This window comes from Homo sapiens, chromosome 7, assembly GCF_000001405.40.
Source record: "Homo sapiens chromosome 7, GRCh38.p14 Primary Assembly".
Classification (NCBI taxonomy): Eukaryota; Metazoa; Chordata; class Mammalia; order Primates; family Hominidae; genus Homo; species Homo sapiens.
The window spans coordinates 137,279,352-137,291,812 of NC_000007.14; the positions used below are offsets into that span (position 1 = coordinate 137,279,352).

The window sequence follows — 12,461 nt, forward strand, 5'->3', positions numbered from 1 at the left end:
ACTCAATATTATTTCCTGATGAAATTAAGATGCACCAAAATTAGAAAACTGCTGTATTAAAATTTTCTTTTAAATTGGAATTTAATAATTACCCAGGTATGTTCATAGAATTTCAGAAAAGCTTCCAGAGGAGCATAATTTTGAGTTTAGTCTAATATAGCAGATTAAGTTAGAAGAGGAAGGACCTTCAGGAAAAGATGTAGATTTGAGTAAGTGTGATCTATTTCAGAAGTCAACAATTAGTTAAATATTGCTGGAGCATCCATGAGAAAAATTGGAAATAAATAAACTATAGAGATAGAAAAGACTAAGCTTATGTTTCTTGCTTGTCATATACAAGGGTTACGTAAAAAATTTAGTGACGCTATATTTTAAGAAATATGGATCCATGAAGAATTTTGAACAAAGAAAGGCCATTATTAGATGTGAATTTCTGAAAGAACACTCAGCAGGCAATAAGCAGAGTGAGTGGAGGTTGATGAGGCTGAAGCCAGAAAGGCTGACAGAGGGCCACTTGACATAGTACAGGTCAAACATTACAGACTTAAACTGTGACTTTGAAAAAAGTTGCTGAGAAGAAAATAAGTTAAATTTTTTAGGAGATAAACTTATTGGACTTATCAAATTAATTGAATATTTGATGAAAGGAGAAATCTAGGATATCTCCCAGATTTCTGATCCTCAATCCAGAGATAAATTGTCAACATACAGAATATGGGTTCATAAACGGCTCCCTAAGTAATGCATGCTATGAGCTATACTAAGGAAAATAGTCTAAGCATCTGACATATGTTAAATGTGATTTAATTCTTAGAAAATCTAATTACTTACATTCTTTTACTCTCTCTACTTTTAATATTAATAATTATGGCTTATGTAAGTAAGTAAAGTTAAGGAAAGGTAGTAAAGTTCTGTTTGGATACATTTAATTTAAGATGCCAGTAGGACATCTGGGTTGAAATAGTTGGTAGGTATGGCTCTGGAAGAGAGCTCTAGTCTGGAGATAGAAATTAAAGCATTGTCAAAATATATTTGAGTAAGTAGGAGGATTTAGTATTGCCCAAGGAGACTATAGAATAAGAAGACATAGAGTAAGGACTGAAGAAGTAAGCAAGAGGCGAGAATTCTAGTTATATAAGTGAATTAGGGGACTTAAGGGTAGCAGCCAGAGGAGTAATAAGACACAAGCAAAGAGAGCAAACAGAAACCATGCAAACTGGGGCTGTGCGTGGTGGCTCATGCCTGTAATCCCAGCAATTTGGGAGGCCGAGGCAGGTGGATCACTTGAGGCCAGGAGCTCAAGACCAGTCTGGCCAACATGGCAAAACCCCGTCTCTACTAAAAATACAAAAAAAAAAAAAAAAAAAAAAAAAAGCTGAGTGTGGTGGCACGTGCCTGTAATCCCAGCTACTTGGGAGGCTGAGGCCCAAGAATTGGTTAAACCTGGGAGGCAGAGGCTGCAGTGAGCCGAGATTGTGCCACTGCACTCCAGCCTGGGCAACAGAGCAAGACTTTGTCTCAAAAAAAAAAAAAAAAAGGAAATTTTCAAAAAAATAAGAATGAAGACCAAGGCCAAATTCTTCAGAGAGGTGCTCCATAGGGATTAGCAATTAGCAATAAAAAGCCACTAATAACCTTAATGAGAGGAGTCTTAATGAAATTGTGAAGTTAAAATATCACATAGCTGTCTCAGAAATAATCATTCATTTAAGATAACATTGGTTTGGAGACTATTTCTTGACTACTGGATAGCCTGTGTGATTCAGCCAAGTTATGTTAGAACAGCCTAATAAATATGCCACGTGACCTAATGAAAGTCTTCAAGAGCTCATAGAATATAAAGGAAAAGACTGTCCAATGTCAAGGGACCAAGTGCCAACTATAAGGGGGCTGGTATCACTCAAAAAAAAAAAACGTAGAAATAGAATCCTATGTGATTCTTTCAGATTTTGGTTAAAGTGATAAAGCTTTCACTCATAAAAGAGTAAGAAATAAGAGACCATCTCACTGCTTCCATTCATGATTCAAGGAGTTCAAGGAACAAAACCAGCTACTGTGTGCTTTTATAAAGCTCTAAGAATGATACCTACACCTCTCCTCAGAACCCCTTGCTGTGCAAGGCTACTCTCAGGGCCAGTAGCGTGGACCTCACCCAGGTGCTTGTTAGAAATGCAGACTCTCAAGCCTTACTCCAGCACTTTTGAATGAGAATTTCCATTTTGACGAGATTAAGATCCCCAGCTGAACTCTTATTTCTGCACATGAAAGTTTGAGAAACTCTTCTAAACCACAATTTCTTTAACAATAAAAAATTTCAACATTTGGTAATTATTTGCTAATGTATTTATAGCCCAACTTCTTCAAATAAGTGCTTAAGACACTTTTAAAGATATATATGCACTCCAGAACAATTTAAAAGTAAAAAAATAAAGACCAAGGGAAATAAGAATAGGAACATTTAATAACCAATATGTATGAAAGACTTTGCCTGTGCTAAGAGCTTTATATCTTTTATTTTCACAATAACTTTAGAAAGTAATCAATATTATTTCAGTTTTACAGGTGAGGAAAATGTGAGTTAGAGAATTTAAGTAACCTGCCTAAGATTACAAAGTGTTAGAAACAGGGTTTGAACTCAGGCCTGCTTAACACCAAACTACACCTGTGCTCTCAATCACAAAATTAAACAGTAAGGTCAAAATATAAAACCTGTGTGTACTCAAATCTATTTATAATGACTTACTCTGCATTTGGCTTTAAATGTTCTAGAAGCTCATGTGAATAGAAAATATCAGTGATTACAACATTCAGAAAGTCTGTATTTAATTTTCTGCCTGTCATAACATTAACTGTGTGGTAGAAGAGAGCTATCACTTTTGTTTTTAGAGAAGCTATGTATTCTTACAAAAGTATGAGCTATGTAAGACCTCAACAGAATGAACTGCATACCATGACAGTAAGGTCCTGTTTCTTAGCTAATGTGTGTATACAATATATCCAGAGAGTTTTTAATATTGTAGCATAATCTTATACAAATAGATGACTTTATTATTTTTAAATAGATGACTGATACTTTATTATTCTGAACTAGAAAATGAGGAGGTAGGTGTACAAGCAGTAGCAGAGAAGCAGAACAGAGAGTCAGGAACTTGCTCCCTCATCATGTCCAACAGCCATGATAGTCAGAGCAGCCAGCACCTTAGGCTTTTTGGAGGCCATTAAAAATATTTGAGATATAAAGAAAAAAAATGATGTAACTAAAACAAGAAAATACCAACAGTTGAATTAATAATGTGATTAAAAATGGGTACACAACAAAGCATTACATTAATAAAGTATGACATTTAACAATCAGAAAGTTTGCTGTATTTAAAAGTCATCTTTAGATTAGATTTTCTCTCTTTGCAAGGATTTTTCAATATACTTAGTGATGATCTAAAAATAAATTAGTTGGAGGCAAATAATTTCCAAAAGCAAAATCGCAAATAATTTCTACCCCAGAAAATCTAGGTTTGTATGTGTGTGTATGGAGACATATGTATCTCCCACAAAAAATATTAGAAGTCCTGGCCCTTAGCATAGGTACCAAAGTGAATGAGGATGAGGCTACTTGATTTCCAGAGCTCCTAGTTTCTCCGCTGTCTGTAATTTAGGTCGTGTGCTAGGCTAGAGTGGAGCAGGAAATATCAAAGAGCCTGAAGGCTACCCCCTCCACTCCCACCTCCACTCCACAAATGATGTAAAATCCCATCCCACAAGGTTCCCACACTGCTAGGAAGTGTCCACATGGGTACTAAGGCACAGCAAGGTAAAGATGAGATGTGTATTTTCTTGGTTTAGCTGGCAAAAAAATAGGTTATTAATGCCTGGTTCCATACGAGGAACAAAACCCTAGAATAATCGAACAATTGCCCAGGAAGCCATTTGGATTGAAGTTAGCTACTCCTTCAAGAACGGAAGAGCTGAACTTGCCAGCTTTGATTTGCACGCCTTTCAGCTACTATTTCCAGCCGATTCAGTTCATACAACTCCAGCTTTCATTTAGGGCTGAGCTCATTGACTAAAAAAATAAAGAAGAACTGAAAAAAAGGAAAAAACGAGAAAAGAAATCAAGGAAAGGCTTCATTGATTATTCAGAGTGTTGCTTTGGGAAAGAGAAAAATCTTGTTAGAAGCCTGGCAAACTTACTTCATTAGAGACCTAGTGACATCTTCCAAAACTAGAACATTACATGAGGTTAGTTTAAAACTTCAAGTGGCCTTATAGTTTGATAAGGATACCCACCCCCATCCACTCTGCTACATTATTTGCATTCTTCACCATACTTTTCGCAATGGTGAAATATTTGCTACTAAAAAATATGCCAAAAGAAGGAAAGAAATGTGACTTATTAGAAATTAGAAATGCTAAAATCAGGGACGGTGATTCTGATCACTCACTGTATCCTCTAAAAGCCCACTTTTCTTTCCTTCTAACAAGGTCATTTGGACCTCATTTTCACCATCCTCCTCCCTCATACACATAGTCCTACTCAATCTCCTTCTACCTAATGATTTAATGCATGCAGTGTTGATAAAATGAATGTGAAAATGAGCATCAGATTTTTTTTTTTTTTTTTTTTTTTTTTTTTTTTTTTTGAGATAGAGTCTCTGTCGCCCAGGCTGGAGTGCAGTGGCGAGATCTCGGCTCACTGCAAGCTCCGCCTCCCGGGTTGACGCCATTCTCCTGCCTCAGCCTCTCCGAGTAGCTGGGACTACAGAAGCCCGCCACCACTCCCGGCTAATTTTTTGTATTTTTTAGTAGAGACAGGGTTTCACCGTGGTCTCGATCTCCCGACCTCGTGATCCGCCCGCCTCGGCCTCCCAAAGTGCTGGGATTACAAGCGTGAGCCACCGCGCCGGGCCGAGCATCATATTTTATAATGGTATGTACGAATTGATTGCTTCCTGACCCTTCAGGAAGACCCTTCCCGGTCTTCTGAAGTTCTGCACAGTTACCATGTCAAAAAGGAAGAGGTCTTTTATTTTTCTTTCTTTTTTTCTAACTTTCTTTCCTTGGAAGCATCAAATGCTCCCACTCACTGACCTCTCTCTCTCTCAGAAATAATTAGCCTAAAGGCTAAAACTACCATGGAAATTTATCAAAGAGTAACTAAAAGATCAAAATGGCTTGGTCATGCCAAATAAACCTCATTTAGTTCTCTGAGAAAGTGGTTAATAATAGTGATTTTATTGCCATAGAGTATCTTGGTTTCAGGAAATTATTTGACAAATACCCTGAAAATATACCACTAAGATAATGGTGTTTTCCTTAGACAATAATATTATGAGGTACATACACTGTTAGATGACTACATTCTGGAGAAGTCAACTTGGAGAGGTGGCTACAAGAAGTTGACAGAAGATTCCCTCCTTCACCTGTTCCGTAAAGACTTAATAATTAGAATAAAAACATCAAAAGGATTCTAGTTCAAGCAGGAACACAAAATTGGAATAAATGTGGAATTACATTGGTGAGCGAATCAATATTAACTATATTCTCAATGAAGTAAATACTGACTTGAAATAAATTAACATCTGAGAATAACTTTCAAATCCTGCATTTGAATACATTTAAGTCAACAACTTAAATAAATATTAGAAGGTAATTTGTTTCACATTGGTTCATAGGATACACTGAAGGTATTACCTGACTACAAGTTTAATATATATATATAAATGGTAAGTATACATAAAAAAGCAAAGCTAATGAGCAAATCAGTACATTCCATTTTGGAGAAGCTCAAATTGGTAGAAAGTTCTTCCTTATATTGAGCTGGATTCTATACACTAAATTTCATTTAATTTTTCTCAGTGAGAAATGAGGTTGAATTCCTAGCAACTCATGCATAGATAATAGGATACAGAATTAACCCTGATTATAATATAATGTACCTGATGTGACTATGAAGCCGGAACTAACACTCAAATAGATTAGAGACTATTACCTTGCAGTTGCAAATTTTAACTGAATTTAAAGTAGTTGCTAACCTAGGCCAGGGGCGGTAGACCACGCCTGTAATCCCAGCACTTTGAGAGGCCAAGGTGGGCGGATCACCTGAGATCAGGAGTTCGAGACCAGCCTGGCCAACACGGTAAAACCCCGTCTCTACTAAAAATACAAAAATTAGCCAGACATGGTGGCGTGTGCCTGTAGTCAGTCCCAGCTACTCAAGAGGCTGAGGCAGGAGAATCACTTGAACCTGGGAGGTGGAGGTTGCAGTGAACCGAGACAGCACCATTGCACTCCAGCCTAGGCAACAGAGTGAGACTCCACCTCAAAAATAAAAAAAATAAAGTAGTTGCTAACCTACATCACAGTATTTCCTTTAGACCATATAATAACATCTTTGTTTAATTGGAGTGTAAATCCAGCAACTTCATGTATCTAGAAATATGTGTCCTATATCATCTTTCTACCCGTCTCCAGTAAAGTGCCTAGGCACATGGCAAATGGTGAATAAGTGAGTAAATTTTAAAAGACTGACCAGCCAAACCCAATGAAACAATAGCATGTGGCTGATACTCTTAGAATATCAATCACTATCTTTTGAATTTTATGTATATTCTACAGTCTTGGTTATCTGGTTTTCACATACGTAGGAAATAGAAGGAAGGAAAATAAATGCTACAGCCAAGTATATTGGTATCCAATCAAAATAAAAGAAAACATGGGGAAATTATTTTTTAAAACTCATATGCACCTAGTTTAGAGTCATTTAGGGTGGAGTCAAATAACCCCCAATAACTCAGTTTACCCTAATAGAAGCACCCACAGACTTCACAATACTGATATTAATTAAGATAGATAAAGTCATTGAGGTATATTTATAAGGCATTATGTAATCAGCAATATGGGAAAGTATTGCAGTACCTTTTATAAGACTATACCTACAAGGTTTGATAGTTGGAAAAATTAGTACCTAAAGGCATGAACCCTTAGCTCTCTAAACAAACCCCACTACTTATGGTTACTTGCTCCCTCTGGCCTACTGTTTCATTACACTGAAAATCTCAATAGCAACTCATGTTACCAGCTTCCAGCAAGGGATCTTTCTTATGATCAATTCCTATTTTCACCTCAATTATCATAATATCCAGAGGGGTAGAATAAGAACATCATATCCAACTTACGAATATGTAAACCAAATTAACACATATAAAAGTAAAACAGGAGAAAAGTGAGCCAGTCTGTCCATCGAAGATAAATAATTTCTTTTTTACTTAATTATTCATTTAGACTGAACAAATTTATAGTGTGAATGCATAATAAATCCCAGGTACCAGGCTGAGTGAAGCACATATAGAGATAAGCACCTCAATTGGGAGAATACATAAATATTTGGAAGAATAGTTTCAGAATGAGTTAAAAAGCAGAAGTTACCATATATATGGTACTAAACTTTCTTCTTCAAAGCATGTTTCCATACTTAGTTGGACTAAATAAGCCTTAACTAATTTTCAGCCCCCAACTGCTATGATTCTATCGTGCTCAATTCTACAAAATCACTGTGAGATAAACATGGCAGGCATTGTTAATTTGCAGTTAATAGACTATAAAATTGAAGATTTAATAGATTGCATAACTTACTCCCAACCACACAGATAGTTAATACCAAAGCCAGATAAGAACTTAACTTGATTTGAGTCCTAATTATTCTATTTATTATGTAAAAACCCTCATTCGTGTTTCATGAACGTAATCATCAGCTATCCCATTTCATAGACTGAAATCTCTGTGCTATGTTTACAAAGCAGCACATTGAATAAACGAGGCTTGTTCCCCCAGATGATGTGATATGTGCTGTTTGGTTAGTAAAAATGTTTCTGCTGCCTCCTTTGGCATTTCACATGCACAATTTATGAACAATTTGCTGTCACCTCTACTTATAGTGCTTCTTTCAAATAACTTCTATTTCCAGAGGACTTGTAAAAAGTAATTTAAGTGGCCCAAACCTGATCACTATGTGTATTTAAAGCTTGTCGGCTATTGTTGGTATGACATGGAGTTCCTTTCTGCTTAGGGTCACCCAGGATGTGAAATAAGTAAGACAAAATATGCATTTTTTTTTTCAGAGAATTGTAAAAAGGGAGTGACCTTAAATTGGTCCTTAAACTCCTAATCCAACAACCAGAATTTGTTTAATTCTGTTATATACAAGATTCTGTGGACATATAAAATATACTATATGACCCTCATCCATAAAGAGCCTAAACTAAAACTTGAAGGTTTTCATGAACGTGTGACAGTGCCTATATTCAATATGACAAAATGTTCCATATAATTAAAAGTCTTACAAATACATGATGATCTCACCTCAGTTTGAACTCTCTCACTGATCACTTGATGACAATAAAAGATCTGATATTGTGTCAAGAAAGAATAAAGAAAAAAAGGGCTTACATTGTATGTGCTCCAAAATGTCTATAGTACAGTTCATTCTGAAGCCAGGGGGGGCGCTATTAGATGACTTATTTTCTTTAGTAATGTTTTTTCCAGATTATAAAAGATATATATGATAATCACTTTCAACACTTGAGTTCCCCTAGAAAACCAACCAGAAAAATCTATTGACTAAGCAAAGCTAATTTTATTAAACCTACCGCAGCAGCAAAGAGGATAACCTTGACTACATCTTAGTGTCTCAGAAGGAATACGTAAAAGAGGATATTTCCAGGGTTTTGGGGTCAGGTCTCAAGTGGTATAAGTTGAATCTTTCAAAGCAGAGAATTGATTAGGATTCAGCAAAGTTCATATTATAATAGTTTAGTGAGATGAAGGTCTCAAAGTGAGTCTTAATAAATGAATTGTTTAATAAACAAGCTGTTGCCCCAAATAATTTGCTCAGATGAGTTAATTATTTGGACATATTGGCGTTCAGAAATTTTATGATACAACAAAGTTATGAATTGGTTATACTGCCTCATTTTCCTGGCCAAACATTTGCTAAAATAATGAGAGGAACTCAGGAGCTCTGCCTCGTTTTCATCTCAATTTTGTCCCTCAGTTCTCAGGAGACGTGAAACACACCTTGCCCACCCAGTTTTCTAATATGTTAAATGTGATTTGTAATTATTATTTATGCTTTAAAGGATATCTGACTACATTCCAGGGGCCTCCAATGAAAACAGCACAGATTTTTATCATCAGATGTATTTACTGAATTTTATCTAAAGCTAAATGTATTTTTTAAATTTAGCATTGGGACCTTAAAATCAAAGAATAAATATTTGCATAGAGATGGAAAGAAAAAAATTGCTTCTCAGCCTTTTGGCTAAGATCAAGTGTAGAGATGGAAATAAACATTTATTTGGGGGGAAGAAACCTTTTATCTGAAGTTTGAAAACTTTAGACCTATTATTCCTCAAGAAAACTAAAGTTATACATAACGTATTCATTAATAATGATATTATTAGGGGAAAAGACTTTCAGTAAAAGTACAACAGGGGCAAAATCATACCTTCTGCTGGATGGTGGATTTAATTTTAAAACGCCAAGAGAATACTTCAAATCAGATAATAACAAAAGCCTCCACACTGAATAATAATATAAACCTCCCTACTGAAATAATGTTAAGATTACTATTTATTTTGCACTTATATGCAGGTGCTATGGTAAGATGTGTTTATATGCACACATAGTCTTATTTAATCATCGCAATCACCTTGCGAAGTAGGTAGTATTATTACCATTTACAGATCGAAAAGAGAATCAAAGAGGTTCAGCATGTCACTCAACTCAGGAGAAGTGGTAAAAGCAAGAATCAAACTTGGTATATTTGACTCTAAACATATTCTCAAGATTGATAAAAGAAGGGAACATAGCTATTGTCATGAAATTAGAGCCTTGGTATTGAAATGTGATCTCTCAGCACCCTAGCACTTTATCTTTCAAATGACTTTACACTGGAGGGTTTCTTTTTTATCAAAGGGAAAGAGCAGTCCTGTGAATCATTGGAAGAGAACTTTGGCTTTCAGGTGTGTGTTAGGCAGAATTAAAAGATACTCCCAAGAACACACGACTTCTCTTATCGATCGAGCAACCACGAATCCAAGTGTTGCTGTAAAGGGATTTCACAGATGACATTAAGGTTCCAAATCAGTCAACCTTAAAATAGGGATATTATCTAGGTGGCCCTGACCTAATTACATGAGGCCATTAAATCTGAGTCTTGTGGTCAGAGACGGAGAAAGTCAGAAATTTCAAGTGTGAGAGGGAGCTGGCCCAAGGAAATTCTACTGGCTTTGAGATGGAGGGATCACGTGGCAAGGATGGTCTCTATGAGCTAAGTGGCCCACAGCTGACAGCAAGGAAAGAGGTACCTCATTCCTGCAACTGCAACAAACTAAATATGGCTGATGATCTGAATCAGCTTGTAAGTTTGCTGTTCCCCAAAATTTCCAGAAAGAAGCACAGTTCAACCACCATCTTGATTTCAGTTTCAAGACCCTGAGCAGAGAACTCAATCACATCATACCTGAACTTCTGATTTACATAACTGTGCGTTAATCATAAGAATCGTTTTAAGTCATTACATTTATAGTAATTTGTTATATGGTGTATTAGTCCATTTTCATGCTGCTGATAAAGACATACTGGAGACCAGGCAATTTACAAAACAAAGAGGTTTAATTGGACTTACAGTTCCACATGGCTGGGGAAGCCTCATCATCATGGTGGAAGGCAAGGAGGAGCAAGTCACGTCTTACATGGATGGCAGCAGCCAAAAAGAGAGAGCTCCTACAGGGAAACTCCCCCTTTTAAAACTGTCAGATCTCAGGCTTATTCACTATCATGAGAACAGCATGGGAAAGACCTGCCCCCATGATTGAATTACCTCCCACCAGGTCCCTCCCGCAACATGTGGGAATTCAAGATGAGATTTTGGTGGGGACACAGCCAAACTGTATCATATTGCAATAAAAACAAATGGTGTTCTAAATACTTTTAGGAAACAAGGGTTAACCTGTGATTAAGACTTTAATGGGTATTTCTGGTTAACTTGAAAACGAGCTTGCTTTATCTGTAAAAAATATAATCAATTTCCTACAAACACATTTGCAAGAAAATATCAATAGTAGTAGGTTCATCAAATTCCTCTGGTCATCTGATCATATGGAATTATAAATAAATAATGGTTATATTAATAATATGTAAGTAATGCTTTAGAGTGTCCAATGTATTACCACATTCATTATATCACCTGGACCTTATTATAACCAAGTTGAGTAGACAAATTATTATTATTATCTCTTCTTATAGTGCAAGAAATAAATACATAGGACAAGTGACTGACTCAAAACCAACTTCAAGAATTTGGAGGTGAGCTGGGGTGGCCAGTAGATGACATTCAAGGGCTTTTGACTTCCCTTAAAACCACATTTTATTTTCAGGGCTGACTTAAAATGTTTCAGCAAAACATGGGGTTATGTTCCCCTTTCCTATTCTCTTCCAATTAAAAAAAAATAAAAACAACATATATTTTTACTTGAAATAAGTGTTTTTTCACCCACATCAACCATTTCTCTTCATCACACAACGTGGAACATTTGAAAGGTATTTTTTAAGCAATATTCAAACTGGGTTTGTAAAAGTTTGAACTATGGTTTCAAAATGATTGAAGCTGAATGATGAAAAATTGTCAATAACCAATATGGGATCATTAAATAAATCTATAAAATCTGAGTTATAGCTATGCACAAAAATTGTGATATATATTTATTCCCATGAGAAGTTGTTTATTCTGTCTGTATACTACAAAGCCATTTGTTTAAAAAAAGTACATAAGTGTACATACACATTCACACACATGCACACATATGCAATATGCCCATTTTTTGAAAGAAGTTACCTGTGGAATGTGGGGCATTTAAAAATTACTTTTCAAAATTTTCTACATTTTATAAATGCTATATTTTATACTACATGTTTATTATCAGAAAAATGGCACTAAAGCCATTTTCATTTCACAAAATAATTTGATTGAAACTGTGCCTCAGTCTAGTTGTATCAAAGCAACATTATTATTATTAAACATCCAAGAGTCTTTATGAAAGTTGAGAATTAAATGTAGAGCAAGGCTCACATCTTCATCAAATCACTCTTTGTTCACATGAAGGCAGCTGGGCACCTGTACCTCACAGGTTGGGCATCTACAGCTTTACTGACCGCTGCCTACGGGTCTCTCATTGTCCTTGACCACCAGTTTTGACTTGAGTATCAAGTGCCAGTTGACATCCCCAACGGCATCCCAGATGTGGTCAGACACTCAGAGTACCCAAGTGAGCCTGAGGCAACACTTATGTCCTCTGACGTAAGCGCTGACTCCATTTTTTCAAAGCTCCTACTGAAGTAAGTTAAGGGAAATTGTCTTACTTTACTTTCTCCTTCATATACTATGAAAATGCCATACTCTGAATTGA

General features: G+C 36.0%; 1 protein-coding gene and 1 non-coding gene across 3 annotated transcripts in view; one reads left to right on the forward strand and one right to left on the reverse strand.

Moving 5' to 3' along the window:
- PTN (pleiotrophin) overlaps nt 1-12,461 on the reverse strand; it is a 116,393-nt gene that overhangs the window by 52,011 nt on the left and 51,921 nt on the right. The window lies entirely within an intron of this gene.
- On the forward strand, nt 8,336-8,411 carry LOC124900235 (small nucleolar RNA SNORD81). Its single transcript, XR_007060650.1, has one exon. It is a non-coding gene; the product is annotated as a small nucleolar RNA SNORD81 (small nucleolar RNA).